The following is a 16,305-nucleotide window of genomic DNA, read 5'->3' as shown; positions in this document are numbered from 1 at the left end:
CCGGCCTCAGCTCCCCTGTCCAGCCGCTAGGGAGAGGTTTCCTGATGGGCCGCTCTCCCTCAGGCCTCTTCCTTTCTTCCTTTCTCAGGTGTATAATGAACAGATCCATGACCTCCTGGAGCCCAAGGGGCCCCTTGCCATCCGCGAGGACCCCGACAAGGGGGTGGTGGTGCAAGGACTTTCTTTCCACCAGGTGTGGGATTGGGCTCGGGTAGGATGATCGGCCCCATGGGTCCTTGGGGTTCCCTCACAAAACTGTTTGGGGATGCCCTGGGTCCTGTGATGGTGGTAGCAGTGGTGGTGGTAGCAAGGGGGTGATGTAGATTCTGAAGAGCAGCCCTTCCTGTTAGGGGAAAAGTCCTGATCCGGGAACCCACAGCCCCGTTCCTGGGCTTCTCCTCTGTAGCCAGCCTCAGCCGAGCAGCTGCTGGAGATACTGACCAGGGGGAACCGTAACCGCACGCAGCACCCCACTGATGCCAACGCGACTTCCTCCCGCTCCCATGCCATCTTCCAGGTGAGGTCATGGGTCAGAGCCTGAAACCAGTGCCCCTGATGCCCATCTCCCCCTCACCCCTGCCATCTGCCTTCAGATCTTTGTGAAGCAGCAGGACCGGGTTCCAGGACTGACCCAGGCTGTCCAGGTGGCCAAGATGAGCCTGATTGACCTGGCTGGCTCAGAGCGGGCATCCAGCACCCATGCGAAGGGGGAGCGGCTGCGGGAGGGGGCCAACATCAACCGCTCTCTGCTGGCGCTCATCAACGTCCTCAATGCCTTGGCCGATGCAAAGGTAAAGCAGCACAGGCCAGTATTCTCCCCAGGATAGCAACTGAGCACCTGAACCCAGGGCCAAAGGCCACAGGGCCCCATCCTGGGTCAGTGCCATCAGTCGCCTCACCCCACACCTGCTTACTGCCCCCCAGGGCCGCAAGACCCATGTGCCCTACCGGGACAGCAAACTGACCCGCCTGCTCAAAGACTCCCTCGGGGGCAACTGCCGCACAGTGATGATCGCTGCCATCAGCCCCTCCAGCCTGACCTACGAGGACACGTACAACACCCTCAAATATGCCGACCGGGCCAAGGAGATCAGGCTCTCGGTGCGTGCCAGCCAGGGCCGGCTTGGGCGTGGGGCAGCTCCAGCCGGGGAGCAGGAAAGGGTGGGACCCAGGCAGCTCCAATAGATCCCTGGGCCAAGTGTCCCCAAGGCAGAGGAAGGAAGTTCCTCTGGCCTGGACATGGTGGCTCATGCCTGTAATCCCAGCACTTTGGGAGACCAAGGTGGGCAGATCACCAGAGGTCAGGAGTTCGAGACCAGCCTGGGCAGCATGATGAAACCCCATCTCTACTAAAAATACAAAAATCTGCTGGGCATGGTGGTGGGCACCTGTAATCCCAGCTACTCTGGAGGCTGAGGCAGAAGAATCGCTTGAACCCAGGAGATGAAGGTTGCAGTGAGCTGAGATAATGCCACTGCACTCCAGCCTGGGCGACAGAGCTAGACTCTGTCTCAAAAAAAAAAAAAAGAAGTTCCTCTGTCTTCAGAGAGTCTTTGTGATAGAAGCGACACAGTCCCCATCCCTGGGTGGGAAGCCACCAGCTGAGAGGGGCAAGATGTTCTCCAAAACCAAGGGAGACGGCAGGAGGGTGGCCTCTCATTGGCCAGTGGTCTAGTTCAGACTTGTTTTTAGCAGTGGGAGCATATTTTCAGCAAAACATAAACACCAATATATGCTTTCTGCCACATCTGCTTGACCCCTCTCTTCCTCCCTCCCCCCAGGGAGCCCTGGCTCTCCTGGGACCACTGCAAGAACACCCTAACCCTGGCAAGAAGGTCTTAGTCGTGGAGTCAGGGGTCTTCTGCCCCTCGCTGTGGTCTCAGGCATGATACTGACCTTCTCTGCTGTGTCTCCCCACTTGCGAGGGTGGGTCATGGGGACGTGGGAGAGACCTAGTGCAGTGCCTGGCCATCGGCGGTGGCTGATAAAAGCTGCTTTGAATGAACAAATAAATCTCTCTCCTGTTCCCCATCTCAGCTGAAGAGCAATGTGACCAGCCTGGACTGTCACATCAGCCAGTATGCTACCATCTGCCAACAGCTCCAGGCTGAGGTGAGGAGCCCGCCTTGGGGGCAGGCTGGAGGGCCGACAGCCAGAGGCAGGAGCTTGAGGGTGTGGCGGGGGCTCTGTCTGCCCCTCCCCTCCTGTGCTTAGCTGGGGCTCTCAGGGGCTGGGCTGCTTCTGTTCCAGGTAGCCGCTCTGAGGAAGAAGCTCCAAGTGTATGAGGGGGGAGGCCAGCCCCCACCACAGGACCTCCCAGGATCTCCCAAGTCGGGACCACCACCAGAACAGTGAGTTCCACTGCCCATTCCCGCCCCCACCCTGCAGCTCAGCCAGGATGGGGAGCCAGGCCCTCTTCTCCAGTTTCTGGAGGACTAGGACTCCTTGCTTCTGCTCCAATCCCTAGGGTTAAGGGTTTGCACCCAGTGCCTGCCCAGCAACTGACTGTCACCTAGAGTGCTGTGTCCAATGAGTAAATGGCACCCCAGCCCGTAAGAGCAGGGCCTACTATTCGAGAGAAGGTGAACTTAGGGGTGTGTGTCATTGTCTCTCAAACCAGAAAATCCCTGACTCCTCCTACCCTCAGCTACTGCCCATTTGTCACCTAAGCATCTGTCCCTTATGGACTCTATACGACCTGGGTGCCACAGAGATCCCACCCGCTCCCTGCTCTCCCACCTGGCCCACATCCTGCCTCTCAAACCCTCCTTTCCCGCTTAGCCTTCCCAGCTCCCCCTTGCCACCCCACCCTCCCAGCCAGCCCTGCACCCCAGAGCTCCCTGCAGGGCCTAGAGCCCTTCAAGAGGAGAGTCTGGGGATGGAGGCCCAGGTGGAGAGGGCCATGGAAGGGAACTCTTCAGACCAGGAGCAGTCCCCAGAGGATGAGGATGAAGGCCCAGCTGAGGAGGTAGGACTTGGGGGTGTGAGGCCTGGGTATCGGGAGGGCTTGGAGCTGGTGGGATATTGGAAAAATTGCCTCTCCCTGACTCAGAGTCCCTTTAGTCCCGTCTCTATGTGGATGTCTTGCACCTTAGTCATTAGGAGGATTTCAGATTCTGTGCAGGAAGAAGAAATACTCTTATCAGATCCTTGTGTGTTTGGAAGTGACCAGGACCTGGTCATTCTAGGAGCTGTCATTTCCACTCTTGTAGGAGGGAAGGATTTTAGAAGCTGTTTATAAAGATGAGGAGGCCATCCTGGCCCCTCTACCTGTGCCTTTTCCTTCCTCTTTAGGTTCCAACCCAGATGCCAGAGCAGAACCCCACACATGCACTGCCAGAGTCCCCTCGCCTGACCCTGCAGCCCAAGCCAGTCGTGGGCCACTTCTCAGCACGGGAACTGGATGGGGACCGTTCTAAGCAGTAGGTATCTTCTTGCTGTATTCTGGAATCAAGGTGGGAAGCAATGGGCTCAGCCTCCCTGGGTGTGGGAATTGGTGTTAAGCACATCACAAAAGCCCTGTCTCTTCATCAGCACTGTCCTTTACCTGGTTTCACCTCCTTGTTGTTATCGTCACCTACTTGATTAACTTATCACCTCTATGTATTCCTCTACATAGCTGGCTGCCTAGCAGGAGAGGGAAGCAAAATGCCAGAGTACATCCAGGCAGCCAGCAGACCCTGGGTCAGGGCAGGGCGGCTGGGGCTTACGCTTTGCTTTCCAGTCTGAGGCCAGGCTGCCCCTCCACAGCAAGGAGGGGACAGCCAAGGGAAGCTGAACGTCAGGCTGGGGAAGGGACAGCCTTCCTGAGCCAGTGTTTTTCATGTATCTTCATCAACAGATTGATTGCGGCTATTTTTTCTCAGAAGTAAATACAAACCACTAATCAAAGCCAAAGAAAAATGGATTTTGGACCATTCTTTCTATGCTTCATAGAAAGATGCTGCTAATATTTTTCTCCTTGGCCCCTAGTTCCTAAATCCCCTGCCACTTAGCTCTGTTACTGCCATCCCGCTCTTCCCTCCCCAGCACGCTTCATGCTAGGCAGTGTATTTAAAGCTTCTGGACAGAAGGGCCTGTTTAATTTTATTTCTTGTTGGGGAGTGTCTGTTCCCGACTCAGCAAAAATGCTGCAGTCTGAATAATCGGCAGCTCATTATCTGTCTCCTGCTTATCAGGTCCTGCCCAGGGCCCTGGAGAGGCAAGGATGCTCTGGTGCGACATCCCCCTGATCTCCCAGGGAACAACCATGAGCTCCTACCGATGACCCAGGGCCCCTCTGCTAGGGGTCCCCTGTTATAAGGAGAGAGGACACCAGGGTCCTTATTTCTGCCCTGGCTTTGTGGTCTCCAACAAATTGCTTCAACCTTGGCCTTGACTGGGGATCATAGCCCCCGGTCTCCCTACTTCTTGGGGATGAAGTACTAATAAAATGTGACAAATCTCCATGTTTGGAAACGTCCTAACAGCCAGATCGTTGAAAATAATTTCCCTTTGATTTTAGAATTTAGAATCTTGGACCACTAGGTACTGAGTAGATCTTAGATTTTCCAGTTCAGTGGTTTTTCAGATTTTTTTTTATTGTTTTTAGCTACAAAATACTTTCTTCAAATGAAATCTTATGCTGAAGTCTAATGCATAGAACAGTCAAAACAGAGTTACTCTGTCTGATGGGTTTTTGAAACCTAATTTGAAAACTCCAGATTTAGACCAGCTCCCCATTTGTCAGATGGGGCACTGAAGCCTTTGTCCAGGCTCACATAGCAAGAGGGACGGGGCCAGAGCCTGGATATTTCCCCCAAACGCCCATGCTTCGCAATTGTCTAATCTTCCTTGTAATGTGTGGCCCGTGCAGATATAGAATGAGTTTCCTCTGTGTCCATTTTAATTTATATCCTGCCTTTTTTCAAAAAGGCCTTGAGGCTGCTTTATAAAATGAGTTTGTGTTCCCTCAGCACACCCTGACTGAGGGCAGTGGAGGGGGCTTCAGAGATGTCCAGGCCAGTAGAACTACCTGAGGATAAACCATTTTCCATGGATAATTCCCACTGAGATAATTGTGTTTATTCTTTTATCATAGGTGTGCCTTACAGAAAGAAAATATGCTTTATTAGAATCTAAATTTACAACATCAATAATCTCATTACCTTCATCATTTCCTTCAAGTAGCCCCCCAGTGCCTGTGAAATACGCCTTGATTCACACATACTTTTTCAGGATCCCAGTCATTAAATAGAAAGCATAGACGGAATGCGTTTTTGAGGGCCTTCTTAGAACCACAATGAACATAGCCTATCTTACATAATCTCCTCTTATCCTAACCAGCAAGATGGTATTATTTCCATTTTACAGGAAACAATAGTTAGCTAGACCTACAGTGCTTATTACATGTCAGGTATTCTTTAAACATTTTGTCTGTAAAGTAACTCATTCAGTCTTTCCAATAACCCTATGAGGTGGGGGCATTTGTTATCCCCATTCTAAGGTTGTGGAGACTGAGGTTAACCAGTGCATCCAAGATCACACAGCTGGGAGGTATTGGAGCCAGGATGTGAGTGGGAAACTGGCAGTCTGACTTGAGCTGGGCTCTTAACTGCCCCTTTGCACTGCCCTTAGGGTAGATGAACTCATGATTGCAGCTCTAGTAGGTGGCAGAGCCAAGAGAAGACTCAGACCTTCTGAGTCCAGGGCCACCTAGTGCCATTTCCCTACTTCTCAGATCACTGTCTTTGTCATGGGGCGTGTTTAGTGGGTGACACCTCCCACCATTACCCGTGGCCATCCTGGTCGGCCTTGGCCTTCAGCAATAGCAGAGCAGGAGCTGTGGCTGAGAGGGTGGTGAGTCTGGCTAGCCTGTCTGGGGTGAGGCAGGAGGGAGCCAGGGGACCAGTTCAGACTCCTCAACCACAGCTGGAGTGATGAGGACAGGTGCATGGCATAGAGGCTCCTGGTCAGGCTGAGTCTGAGCAGGGCTGGGAATCCCCTTTCTTCTGTTCCAGGTTGGCCCTAAAGGTGCTGTGCGTTGCCCAGCGGCAGTACTCCCTGCTCCAAGCAGCCAACCTCCTGACGCCCGACATGATCACAGAGTTTGAGACCCTACAGCAGCTGGTGCAAGAGGAAAAAATTGAGCCTGGGGCAGAGGCCTTGAGGACTTCAGGCCTGGCCAGGGGGGCACCTCTGGCTCAGGAGCTGTGTTCAGAGTCAAGTGAGTCTCATCCTGCTCTCCCCTGCCTGTCTTCAAGGTGCTGTCTTCAAGGCCCCACTGGGGCCAAGGGGTGTCCAGGGGCCTCAGTTGCTGGGTTTTGCTGCTGTAGGAGGCTGGGCCCCTGGGATCCTAGACTTCTGCACACAGAGAGGCCCCAGGAGACCTGAGGGGTTATGGGCTCCTTCATGTCTCCAGTGTCTGGCTCCCCAAGTTCTACAAACTCTCCTTCCTTCTGTGCAGTCCCTGTGCCGTCTCCTCTCTGCCCAGAGCCTCCAGGATACACTGGCCCTGTGACCCGGACTATGGCGAGGCGACTGAGTGGCCCCCTGCACACCCTGGGAATCCCGCCTGGACCCAACTGCACCCCAGCCCAGGGGTCCCGATGGCCCATGGAGAAGAAGAGGAGGAGACCAAGCGCCTTGGAGGCAGACAGTCCCATGGCCCCAAAGCGGGGCACCAAGCGCCAGCGCCAGTCCTTCCTGCCCTGCCTAAGGAGAGGGTCTCTGCCTGACACCCAACCTTCACAGGGGCCCAGCACCCCCAAAGGAGAAAGGGCCTCCTCCCCCTGCCATTCCCCTCGCGTTTGCCCAGCCACAGTCATCAAAAGCCGGGTGCCCCTGGGCCCTTCCGCCATGCAGAACTGCTCCACCCCGCTGGCTCTGCCCACTCGAGACCTCAATGCCACCTTTGATCTCTCTGAGGAGCCTCCCTCAAAGCCCAGTTTCCATGAATGCATTGGCTGGGACAAAATACCCCAGGAGCTGAGCAGGCTGGACCAGCCCTTCATCCCCAGGTGGGTCTCCCAGTCTCGCTCCACCCCTCCTGTCAGTGGTCAGTGGTCAGCAAGGGACTTCTTGGTGCTGCTGAGAAGTATGGAGGACAGCCTTGGAGCTGGGACGGTTCCTATCTGTTCCACTTTGGTTGTGATCCGCTTTGCTCCCCAGGCCCAACAGCTGCCAGGGAGGTGTCACTTCTCCTGGGGCCCCTGCCTGGTCTGTCCATGCTGCAAAGCCACCCACTCTGTGCTGGTTTGTAGCATGCTCATGAGTAGCTAATGGGACCCCAACTTGGAAAGAGTCAGCAGGGAACAAGAATGTACTAGGGGAACCCAACACTTCTGTTCCTCTCTTTACTTGGGCTCTTTGGCCTGGGCTGCATTCTATGTTCCACTGGGAAATACCTCTTTCTGCCACTTCTACTCCAGATTTTGGCCTCCGGCCCAGCATCTGGAACAGGAAAGGGGGTCCTTAGAAAACTCAGTTCAGTATTTTCCAGTGAGAAGACGAAGCTGTCACTCCCCCTTTCCACACACATGGCAGAGGAGGGGAACAGCAGCCTGCTCAAGACAGTCCAAGGCCAAGAACCAGTGGCAGACTGACCTGCACCTGTGGGGCAGAGGCTGGCAGGCTCTGCCCACCCACGCACCCGCCCATTCCATAGCCCGAGAAGCAGCTCTCGGTAACAAGCGCAGAGCTGGGCAGGTGGAAGGGTGAAATTGTTTGAACTCCAGTTCCCCGGGTGCACCAGAAACTGGCATCTGGATGTCCTCCCAGAGCAGGCCTGTCACTCAGCTGTCAGCCAGGCAGAGAGAGGAATCCACCTCTTTGTAGAAGAAACCTCAGAGGTCATCTTGTCCAACCACCCTCCCCCATGCCCGAGCTGGGGGCTGGAGGGAGGAAGTGGCTGGCCTTGCTTCCGGTTCCCTGCTGATCAGCCTCCTTCCCTGTCCTCCCTCCCCAGGGCACCTGTGCCCCTGTTCACCATGAAGGGCCCCAAGCCAACATCTTCCCTCCCTGGGACCTCTGCCTGCAAGAAGAAGCGCGTTGCGAGGTGAGGTTTGGGAGGTGTCAGCTGTCTGGGAGAAGGAGCTCGCTCTCACCAGGGCAGTAGACACCTGGGCCGACTCTGGGCCCCCAGTGTCTCTGTCTCTACACCCCCGGAGCAAGCAGCTGAGGTCCTGTGAGCAGGGCCCGCATCTAGTTCTCCTATTGAGGTTTCCTTGGCCCTTGCTATCCCAGGATCACCCCAGAGCTGATCCATGAGGGAGGCTCTCAGCACCCATTTATCCATGAGGGAGATGTTGCACACCATTAATCCAGCAAAGGGACTCTCCATCCTCACTGCTACTTCCCTCTTGTGTCCCCAACCCTACACACTGCCTCTCCCACCCTTAGATCCAGCTCTGGAAGCTCCTGCTGGTGCCCAGCAGCCTTTGCTCTCAGGGCTTAGTGTCAAGTACTTATATGCCCCACTTCAATGCACACCCATAGTCCAGAGACAGGGCCGTAACCTTCCACCTTCCCTCCTTTCCTCCCTCAGTTCCTCAGTCTCCCATGGCCGCAGCCGCATCGCCCGCCTCCCCAGCAGCACTTTGAAGAGGCCAGCTGGGCCCCTTGTACTCCCAGGTGACTGGCACTAGGGACAGGGATAGCCTGGGCCATGGAGGCCGATGAAGACAAGAAGGAGGAGGGGACGGGGAGCTGAGACCCAGAAGAAAGGAGGGCCTAGGGTATTGCCAAGCATCTCAGGGATGCTGCTGATGAGACAGGTGGGAGGTGGGCTGGAGGACGGGGACAGAGCGTCACTTTCCTTCCTCGCTGCACTCCCCGCCACCCATCCAACTGGCCTGCAGAGCTGCCCTTGAGTCCCCTGTGCCCTAGCAACCGGAGGAATGGAAAGGACCTCATCAGGGTGGGGAGAGCACTCTCAGCAGGGAACGGCGTCACCAAGGTGTCCTGACCGCCAGAATGTCCTGACCACCAAGGTGTCCTAACCTACCGGCCCCTCTGCTGGATACCCCTCTTGGACCTGTAGCCACCTGCACCAGGAGCTGGACCTGCCTTCCTTACCTGGGAGCAATTAGTGCCAACACACCTTTGCTGTATTAACATCCCTCCCCAGACATCCATCCTGCTACTCACCCTCTGTTAATCTCCTGTTACACTCAGCTTCTTGGCATGTACATATTCATTTGTGAGTGTTAATGTGCTGCTGTTTTTTGTTTTTTGGTGGTTTTTGTTTTTTGTTTTTTTTGTTTTGAGATGGAGTCTTACTCTGTCGCCCAGGCTGGAGTGCAGTGGTACGATCTTGGCTCACTGCAACCTCCGCCTCCTGGGTTCAAGTAATTCTCCTGCCTCAGCTTTCCAAGTAGCTGGGATTACAGGCACCCATCACCACACCCAGCTAATTTTCGTCTTTTTAATAGAGAGGGGGTTTTTCCATGTTGGCCAGGCTGGTCTTGAACTCCTGACCTCAGGTGATCCGCCTGCCTCAGCTTCCCAAAGTGCTGAGATTACAGGCATGAGCTACCACGCCTGGCCCGTGTTGCTGTTTTAAAGGTGCTGCCATGTTCCCCCATCTTTTTTTTTTTTGAGATGGAGTCTCGCTCTGTCGCCCAGGCTGGAGTGCAGTGGTGGCGATCTTGGCTCACTGCAAGCTCCGCCTCCCAGGTTCACACCATTCTCCTGCCTCAGCCTCCCAAGTAGCTGGGACTACAGGCGCCCACCACCACGCCTGGCTAATTTTTTGTATTTTTAGTAGAGATGGGGTTTCACCGTGTTAGCCAGGCTGGTCTCGATCTGACCTCATGATCCACCCGCCTCGGCCTCCCAAAGTGCTGGGATTACAGGCGTGAGCCACTGCGCCCGGCCTCCCCTCTCATTTATGATGCCCTCTGTGCAGGCAGACGGCTCTTGGGCTCTTTTCCCCACCTGTCTCTAACACAGGCCCCACGGTGATGGCCACAGGCAGTAGAGGAGGAATGAGGATGGGTTGGGGAGCGGGGAGTCGCGGCTTGGCTCTTCCTGGTTTCTGAGAGGGACATCTTCATCCCTACTCCCCTTGGTCCCCAACCACAGTCCTGGTGAAGATGTGGATGATAATGGTGCCTTGATTTCCAAATGAAGACAGCTTTATTGCTTAACTCTATTGTACATAGGATACACGTTCAGTGTAAAATAAAGTGTAAAGGGGAATTCAGGCTTAATGCTGCACCTAGATATAAATGCTAATGATACTTGGGTTTATAGCCTTCTGATCCTTTATTTCTGCATATATATATAGATATATACATATATTTTTGGTATAACAATAAACCGTCTCCATCCTTGGTGTGTGTGTCTCTCTGTACACCTAGATAGGATAGCAACACCTTCCCTTTCTCACCTTGCTACTCTTAAGACCTCAGGAAACTTCTGAGTATATACAGAAAACAGTTCTCACTCTGCCTCCTCCTGGAGCCTGAGGTCTGAGCCCGGCTCTTCACTTCACAGCCCAATACGCCCTAAAGGGCCTCCTCTTCTCCGTGGGTTTGGGAGTAATTGCACCTGGAGGTCTGTTCCACCCTTCTACGGCCTTGGCGGTGGGTTGCTAGGAGTTCTGCCTTCTTAGTGGCCCCCAGGTCTTAGGTGAGGCTCCAAGCTAATCCCCACAGGCTTAAGTCCAGTGCAGTCTGCTGCCAACACCCGTCCACCTGGCTCGTGACTTCCATCTCCACTTCCTTGGATTGGGCGACAGTGCCACATAAGTTTCCCTCCGTTCTCCCCATGAAGACATGGTTGGCTGAATGAATTAATAGTGTAAACAAAATTACAGGAGTCTGTGTTTAACCTGCTTCTGAAAACAAACATGTTAAAGGTATTTAGAGCATTGTGAGTAGCATGTAAATAAATGCTGCTAATTTCAAGTGAGTCCTGGCTGTTCTCGGGGAGCAGCCTCTACCGGGTCAGCCCCTCAGCTCTGAGCCCTTTTTGTTTTGGTTTTGTTTTGTTTTGAGACAGAGTCTCACTGCAACTCCCAGGCTGTAGTGCAATGGTGCAATCTTGGCTCACTGCAAGCTCTGCTTCCTGGGTTCAAGCGATTCTCCTGCCTCAGCCTCCCAAAATGCCGGGACTACAGATCTGGGCCACCACACCTGGCTAATTTTTGTATTTTTAGTAGAGACAGTGTTTCACCATGTTGGTCAGGCTGGTCTCGAATTCCTGACCTAAAGTGATCCACCCACCTTGGCCTCCCAAGATGCTAGGACTACAGGCGTGAGCCACCGTGCCTGGCCTCTGAGCCCTTTTTGGAGTAGAGGAAAGAACAGCCAGAAGCATCGAGCACCCACTGGCTGCCAGGCCCTTCACTGAGCTGCGCCACCTCATAAGGGAGATAATGATAGGCTCCGAAAGGGTCACAAAACTTGCCCAGAGTTAGATTCAAGCGTTCTGGATCTGAGGTCTGCTTCTCTGCATCACACCAAGCTGCTTTCCTCCAGAAGTGAACAATGTCTGTTCACTTCCAGAGGGAAGTGAAAAGGACAGACATTTCATGTGCTTGGGGTTCCCTCCTTTCCAATTAGTCTTAATGAAGTTTTCCCCCACTGTGTACCATGATTTCCAGAGAGGCAGTCACAGATTCACATCATCGTAGCCCCCAGTGCCCTGGCATGGTGCCTTGACCTCAGGAGGCCTCACTGAGTGTTGGTTGGATTCAAATTGAATAACATCCCCCATTTCCTGGGGCCTTCACATATATTATCTTATTTGATCATCACCATCACCCCTGCAAGTGCAGAGGCAGCAGGCACAGGGCAAGGCAGCTGGTAATGAGGGCCAGGAGGGCAACCTTCACCCAATAGGGTCCGTTGCATGAGGGAGAATTTTGCCTGGGCCGGGGGCAGCTCAAGTGGAAGAGGTCACTCTTGACAAGAATGTTCTACAGCCGGTCATTCACTCGGCAAACACTTGTGGCTCCGTGGTGCAAAATGTGCTCCCAGGTAACCCATTAAATTCACAACGACTCTGTGCCGATGGAGTCAAACACATGGGGCTCCTGCCCTCAATCACAGGAGGTCGGGCTGAGAGTGCTCACTCGCGGTGTGGTGTCCCCACGCCAGGAGGCAATTTGTCTGGTCTGAGCTTTGAGCTTCGCAGGGAGCTGGCAGGGGATCCAGGGGGCAGCAAGCTGACAGCCAGCTCCCAGCTGACCTCCGTGGGTGGCAATGAGACTCAGATTGGATTGTTCTTACATAAACAGAGTCATCCACGAAACGCGGCGATCGATGGCTCCCCATCTGCTGAGGGCCCAGCCTGGTCTAACGCCCCCCGCTCCCTGCCTCATCCTGCCTCTTCCACCTCAAAGGCCTGGAAAAGCCTCTCACTCCACCTCTATGAGTTTAGAAATCCTCATGCCCCAGGCCTTTTATGCCCACCTCCTTGCTTGACTCAGTACCCACAGCTCACGCCTGGGCCCCCACCCTGGGGTACAAATCCTGCCCAGTTCAGAGAATCAGGCTCAGTGCCAGGGGCTGAAAACAGAACAAGACATGGTCCCTCCATGCACGGAATCAGGATGGCACCTGTTCCTATCACCTGAGTGTAAGTCCAAATCTCCATCGGTGTTGGTATCTGCCAAGGAGAAGGGGTTGGGTTTTCTCTCTGGGTACCCCTTACACACGGTCATCAGCTTGGCCCACAAAGGGGACTTCGTCACCACCTGGGGAGCCTCCGTGGTGGCTACTAACTCAGGAGTCCTGCCTCCCAGACCCCCAGATTCTCCCAGGAATGTCCCCTTGGCTCTTGGTCATGTCTGGGGGATCCTGGCTCCCAGCTAGAATTTGGTTCACGGTCATCTTCCCTTCTTCCATGGTTCTTTGTGAAGAAGGATCCAGGAGGGCTTGAGATAAAGAATGTGAGGGCCAGCGTGGTGGCTCACACCTGTAATCCCAGCACTTTGAGAGGCTGAGGCGGGCGGATCACCTGAGGTCAGGAGCTCAAGACCAGCCTAGCCAACATGGTAAAACCCCATCTCTACTAAAAATACAAAAATTTAGCTGGGCATGGTGTAATCCCCGCTACTCGGGAGGCTGAGGCAGGAGAATCACTTGAACCCGGGAGGCAGAAGCTGCAGTGAGCTGAGATCATGCCACTGCACTCCAACCTGGGCGACGGAGTGAGACTCCGTCTCAAAAAAAAAAACAAAAACAAAAACAAAAAGAATGTGGGGCAGGGGAATCACCCCAGGGGCCTAGAGATGGTGGCTGTGTTTTCCAGCTCACCCTGAGGGCTTCCCACAGCTCGCATGCAGCCCTCCTGCCTCCGTTCTCCGGTTCATCCTGTCCATTTGGAGGACTAATAGGCTGGAAATAACAGGCCACCCGCCAGTCCGCTCCTCCCACCAGGGCCACATCTGGTCCTCGCCTTTCACCCTCCAGAGGGAGCCAATCAGGGAGGCAGAGGGGAGTGGGGAACAGAGCAGATCAGGGAAAGCAATTAAAAAGCTGCTCTCGGGGTTACAGGCTGGGACGCGGGGGGCAGGCTACAGTGGGCCCTGGCTGGGGTGGGGAGAAGCAAGGAAGAACGGGCCTGAGCTTATTAACCCCAGTGCAGCAGCCTGGGGTCTGTGAAGGTTAGTGAACCAATGCTGAGAAGGCCAGGGAAGAGCAAGGGGAAGGGACTTGGGGTTCAGCCAGGAACCTTTCTGCAGCCACAGGAGTCAGTTCTAGACAGCAGAGCCTGGCTGGGCACAGGCTGAGGATGGGGGTAAGGAATGGGCCCTACTCTGAGGCAACCCCCTCTCCAATGGAATGGGAGACAGTTCCTGCCCTCAAGGAGCTCCCATCTGACAATGAGCCATGGGTTCTAGCATTGGGGAGCCCCTATCCAAGGGAAGAGGATGACTCCTGTCCTGTGGGTGCTTTAGCCTGGGGTTGGGGGAAACACTGTCCTTAGAGAGACCCCAGTTTGCTGGGAAGACATAGGTCCTAGCATCAGGAAGTCCCCATCTGTTGGGGGAAAGGCATGGCCCCTCTCCTTGTAAAGCTTCAGGCTGAGATGCAAATGAGACCCACACCCAAGCAGGGGTGACACACAGAGCTTTTCAAACGGGATAGAGTTGTGGGGCTCAAGTCTAGGGATGGGGAGGGGTGAGGATGGAGAAAACAGCACCCACTGGGGGAGTCAGAGAGCCAAGAAAGCAGGTGGGAAAGCAGTCTCAGTACTCTGAGTCTCCAGGGCCGGCGGAGATAACTTGCCTGTGTCCCCTGGGAGATGAAGCCACCAACAACTCGTGGTCTGAGGGTAGACAGTGCTGGCTCTCCCCCATGCTTCACTAGCTGCTGCTCTCTGTCCTGTCCACACTGCCAAGTAACTGCCCTTGGGGGAGGGATGTCCACATACTCCCAAAGGAGTTAACAGGATACAGAAGCCCTTTCAGAGGTCCCAGCTCCTGCCCCTCCGCCAACCCCATCGCAGATCCGCTAACATGTCGATAGGTAAAGCTCCTGGTAGGTGTTATGAAATGGAAGCTCTAATTTGTCAAGCACCTGCTGTGTTCAGCTTTCACTGATTTTATTCTTACAACTACCTGGGGAGCAGGCATGGTTGAATCCCCATTTTACAGACGTGGAAATGAAGACTCAGGCAAGGTTCTTAAAGTCATCAAAGACTGCACAGCTACTGAGTGGCCAAGGCTTTGCTCCCTCTCCTTGAGGACAGTGCTATAGCAGTCAGAGTCAAGTCTAGAGAACAAAGCGGGTGATGCCCCTGGGTGAAACAAATTTGGGTTTTAGAAAACTCCGCCTACAGCTTTCTCCCTGCCTCTAAACTGCGGTGGCTGTGGCGGCTCACACCTGACCAGCTGAGCACCACCATCTAGTGGCCACCAGGCTCAGTTCCCTTCCTCGGGACAGGCCATGGATGAACAGACTTGCTGGTCACCAAGGCTCAGCCAGAGAGACTGTGTTCTCTTCACCCAGCTTGCTGACCACCACGCTGTGCCAGGCACTGGGCCAGGGCCAAGGGCCCAAGCAGAACCAGCGGGCAGCAGTCATGTGGCAAAACTGCCGTTTGAATTAGAGGCTGGCCTATTTGGCAAACACCAGGCACCCTGTGTGTGGGTTGATGCCACATGTGGGGCTGGTCTGTCCCAGGAGGCATCTGGGCTTTACCCTGTAAGCAGAAGGTCATCTAGCAGATTCTGATGTGAGGGAGGGGCTCAGGAAGGTCATCTTGTCCTCACCTCAGCTTGAAGCAGGCACAGCTTGGCTGTAGGCTCCTTGAAAGGGCATCCAGACTTCTCTCTCCATGGCTGGTATTATCCTGCTGTGCAGTCTAGAAGGCAGTCTAGGGTTTGGCCAGAGGCTTTAGAAGTTGGGGCCTTCCATTTGGGGAAGCAGGAGAGGAGGCACCCCAGAGAATGGGGCCTGAGCCAGGCTAGGAGGATGGGGGGTTTGGGTGGAGGCTGGACGGGCTGAGGGCCTACCCTTCTCTGTTTGCTGTGTCTGCCTGCAGCAGATGCAAATCAGAGTGTGGTTTAGAACAGAGAGAGGACAGTCACAGCGGCTCACATCTGTAATCCTAGCACTTTGGGAGGCTGAGGCCAGAGGATCACTTGAGGCCAGGAGTTCAAGACCAGCCTGGGCAACATAACAAGACTTGGTCTCTGAAAAAAAAAATTATCTGGGCACACTGTCATGTGCCTGTAGTCCCAGCTCCTTGGCAGGCTGTGGCAGGAGGATTGCTTGAGCTCAGAAGTCTGAGGCTGCAGTGGGCTATGATGGTGCCACTGCACTCTGGCCCTGGGTGGCAAAGTGAGACTTTGTCTCTAAAAAAAAAAAAAGAGAGAGAGAGAACATACTGTCATACTGTCCACCACTAGGGCTTGGTACATGAATGCATATAGTGGAAAATCATGCAGCTGTTAAATGATGATGCAGACAAATATTTATTGATGTGGAAAGATGTTCACAACATATTGTTGAGTGAGAAAAGCAAATTACAAAATAATTTGTACGGCATGAGCCCATTTTGAAAAAAATGATTATATATGTGTGGAAAAAATCTGGTAGTGTTTATCTCCAGGTGGCAAAATGATGGCTAATTACATTTTTTTGTATTGCTTATCTATAGTTTCTGACCTTTCTACAATGAATATTTAATTAAAAAGATAATGAAAGTTTGGAACACAACCACGACCAAATCTGTCTGTATCTTTGGTTCTCTGTGCAGACACCTTTAGATAGTTAAGGGTTGGCCAGGCGTGATCTATATGTACCGGTTGTATAGGTCATGCCTGTAATCCCAGCACTTTGGGAGGAAGAGGTGGGAGGGTCACTTGAG

At 53.9% G+C, this 16,305-nt stretch overlaps 1 protein-coding gene, 1 long non-coding RNA gene and 1 other non-coding gene across 12 annotated transcripts in view, besides 1 other annotated feature; 2 read left to right on the top strand and 1 right to left on the bottom strand.

Annotated features, from left to right (window-relative positions):
• KIF18B (kinesin family member 18B) overlaps positions 1 to 10,313 on the top strand; it is a 23,063-nt gene extending 12,750 nt beyond the window's left edge. For 2 of the 10 annotated variants that reach the window (NM_001265577.2, XM_011524388.3), the window contains exons 4-16: positions 89 to 193; positions 407 to 517; positions 594 to 791; positions 925 to 1,101; positions 2,038 to 2,112; positions 2,251 to 2,351; positions 2,818 to 2,968; positions 3,295 to 3,422; positions 6,000 to 6,205; positions 6,446 to 6,998; positions 7,946 to 8,035; positions 8,525 to 8,610; positions 8,838 to 10,313. In NM_001265577.2, the coding sequence (NP_001252506.1) occupies positions 89 to 193; positions 407 to 517; positions 594 to 791; positions 925 to 1,101; positions 2,038 to 2,112; positions 2,251 to 2,351; positions 2,818 to 2,968; positions 3,295 to 3,422; positions 6,000 to 6,205; positions 6,446 to 6,998; positions 7,946 to 8,035; positions 8,525 to 8,610; positions 8,838 to 8,944 (2,088 nt within the window). In that variant the 3' untranslated portion in view covers positions 8,945 to 10,313. Of the gene's footprint in view, positions 1 to 88; positions 194 to 406; positions 518 to 593; positions 792 to 924; positions 1,102 to 2,037; positions 2,113 to 2,250; positions 2,352 to 2,467; positions 2,969 to 3,294; positions 3,423 to 5,999; positions 6,206 to 6,445; positions 6,999 to 7,945; positions 8,036 to 8,524 lie in introns of those variants that run through there. The other 8 variants (XM_011524386.3, XM_011524385.3, NM_001264573.2 and 5 more) reach the window with 6 other exon arrangements.
• Positions 343 to 406, top strand: MIR6783 (microRNA 6783). The gene has a single exon (NR_106841.1). It is a non-coding gene; the product is annotated as a microRNA 6783 (primary transcript).
• LOC105371793 (uncharacterized) lies at positions 10,227 to 16,305 on the bottom strand. Its single transcript, XR_934781.3, has 2 exons — positions 15,206 to 16,305; positions 10,227 to 10,765 (listed from the first exon to the last, which is right to left on the bottom strand). It is a non-coding gene; the product is annotated as an uncharacterized LOC105371793 (long non-coding RNA).
• Positions 14,492 to 14,991: an enhancer, noted in NCBI's record as "H3K4me1 hESC enhancer chr17:42997401-42997900 (GRCh37/hg19 assembly coordinates)". NCBI's record gives its function as "activates a minimal SCP1, AML or CMV promoter by ChIP-STARR-seq in naive H9 embryonic stem cells {active_cell/tissue: H9 hESC(naive)}" and the evidence as "EXISTENCE:reporter gene assay evidence [ECO:0000049][PMID:30033119]".

The sequence above is a fragment of the Homo sapiens genome, chromosome 17 (genome assembly GCF_000001405.40).
Source record: "Homo sapiens chromosome 17, GRCh38.p14 Primary Assembly".
In the NCBI taxonomy this organism is placed as follows: Eukaryota; Metazoa; Chordata; class Mammalia; order Primates; family Hominidae; genus Homo; species Homo sapiens.
The sequence above is the reverse complement of the archived record's forward strand: the minus strand, read 5'-3'. Positions and strand labels throughout refer to the sequence as shown.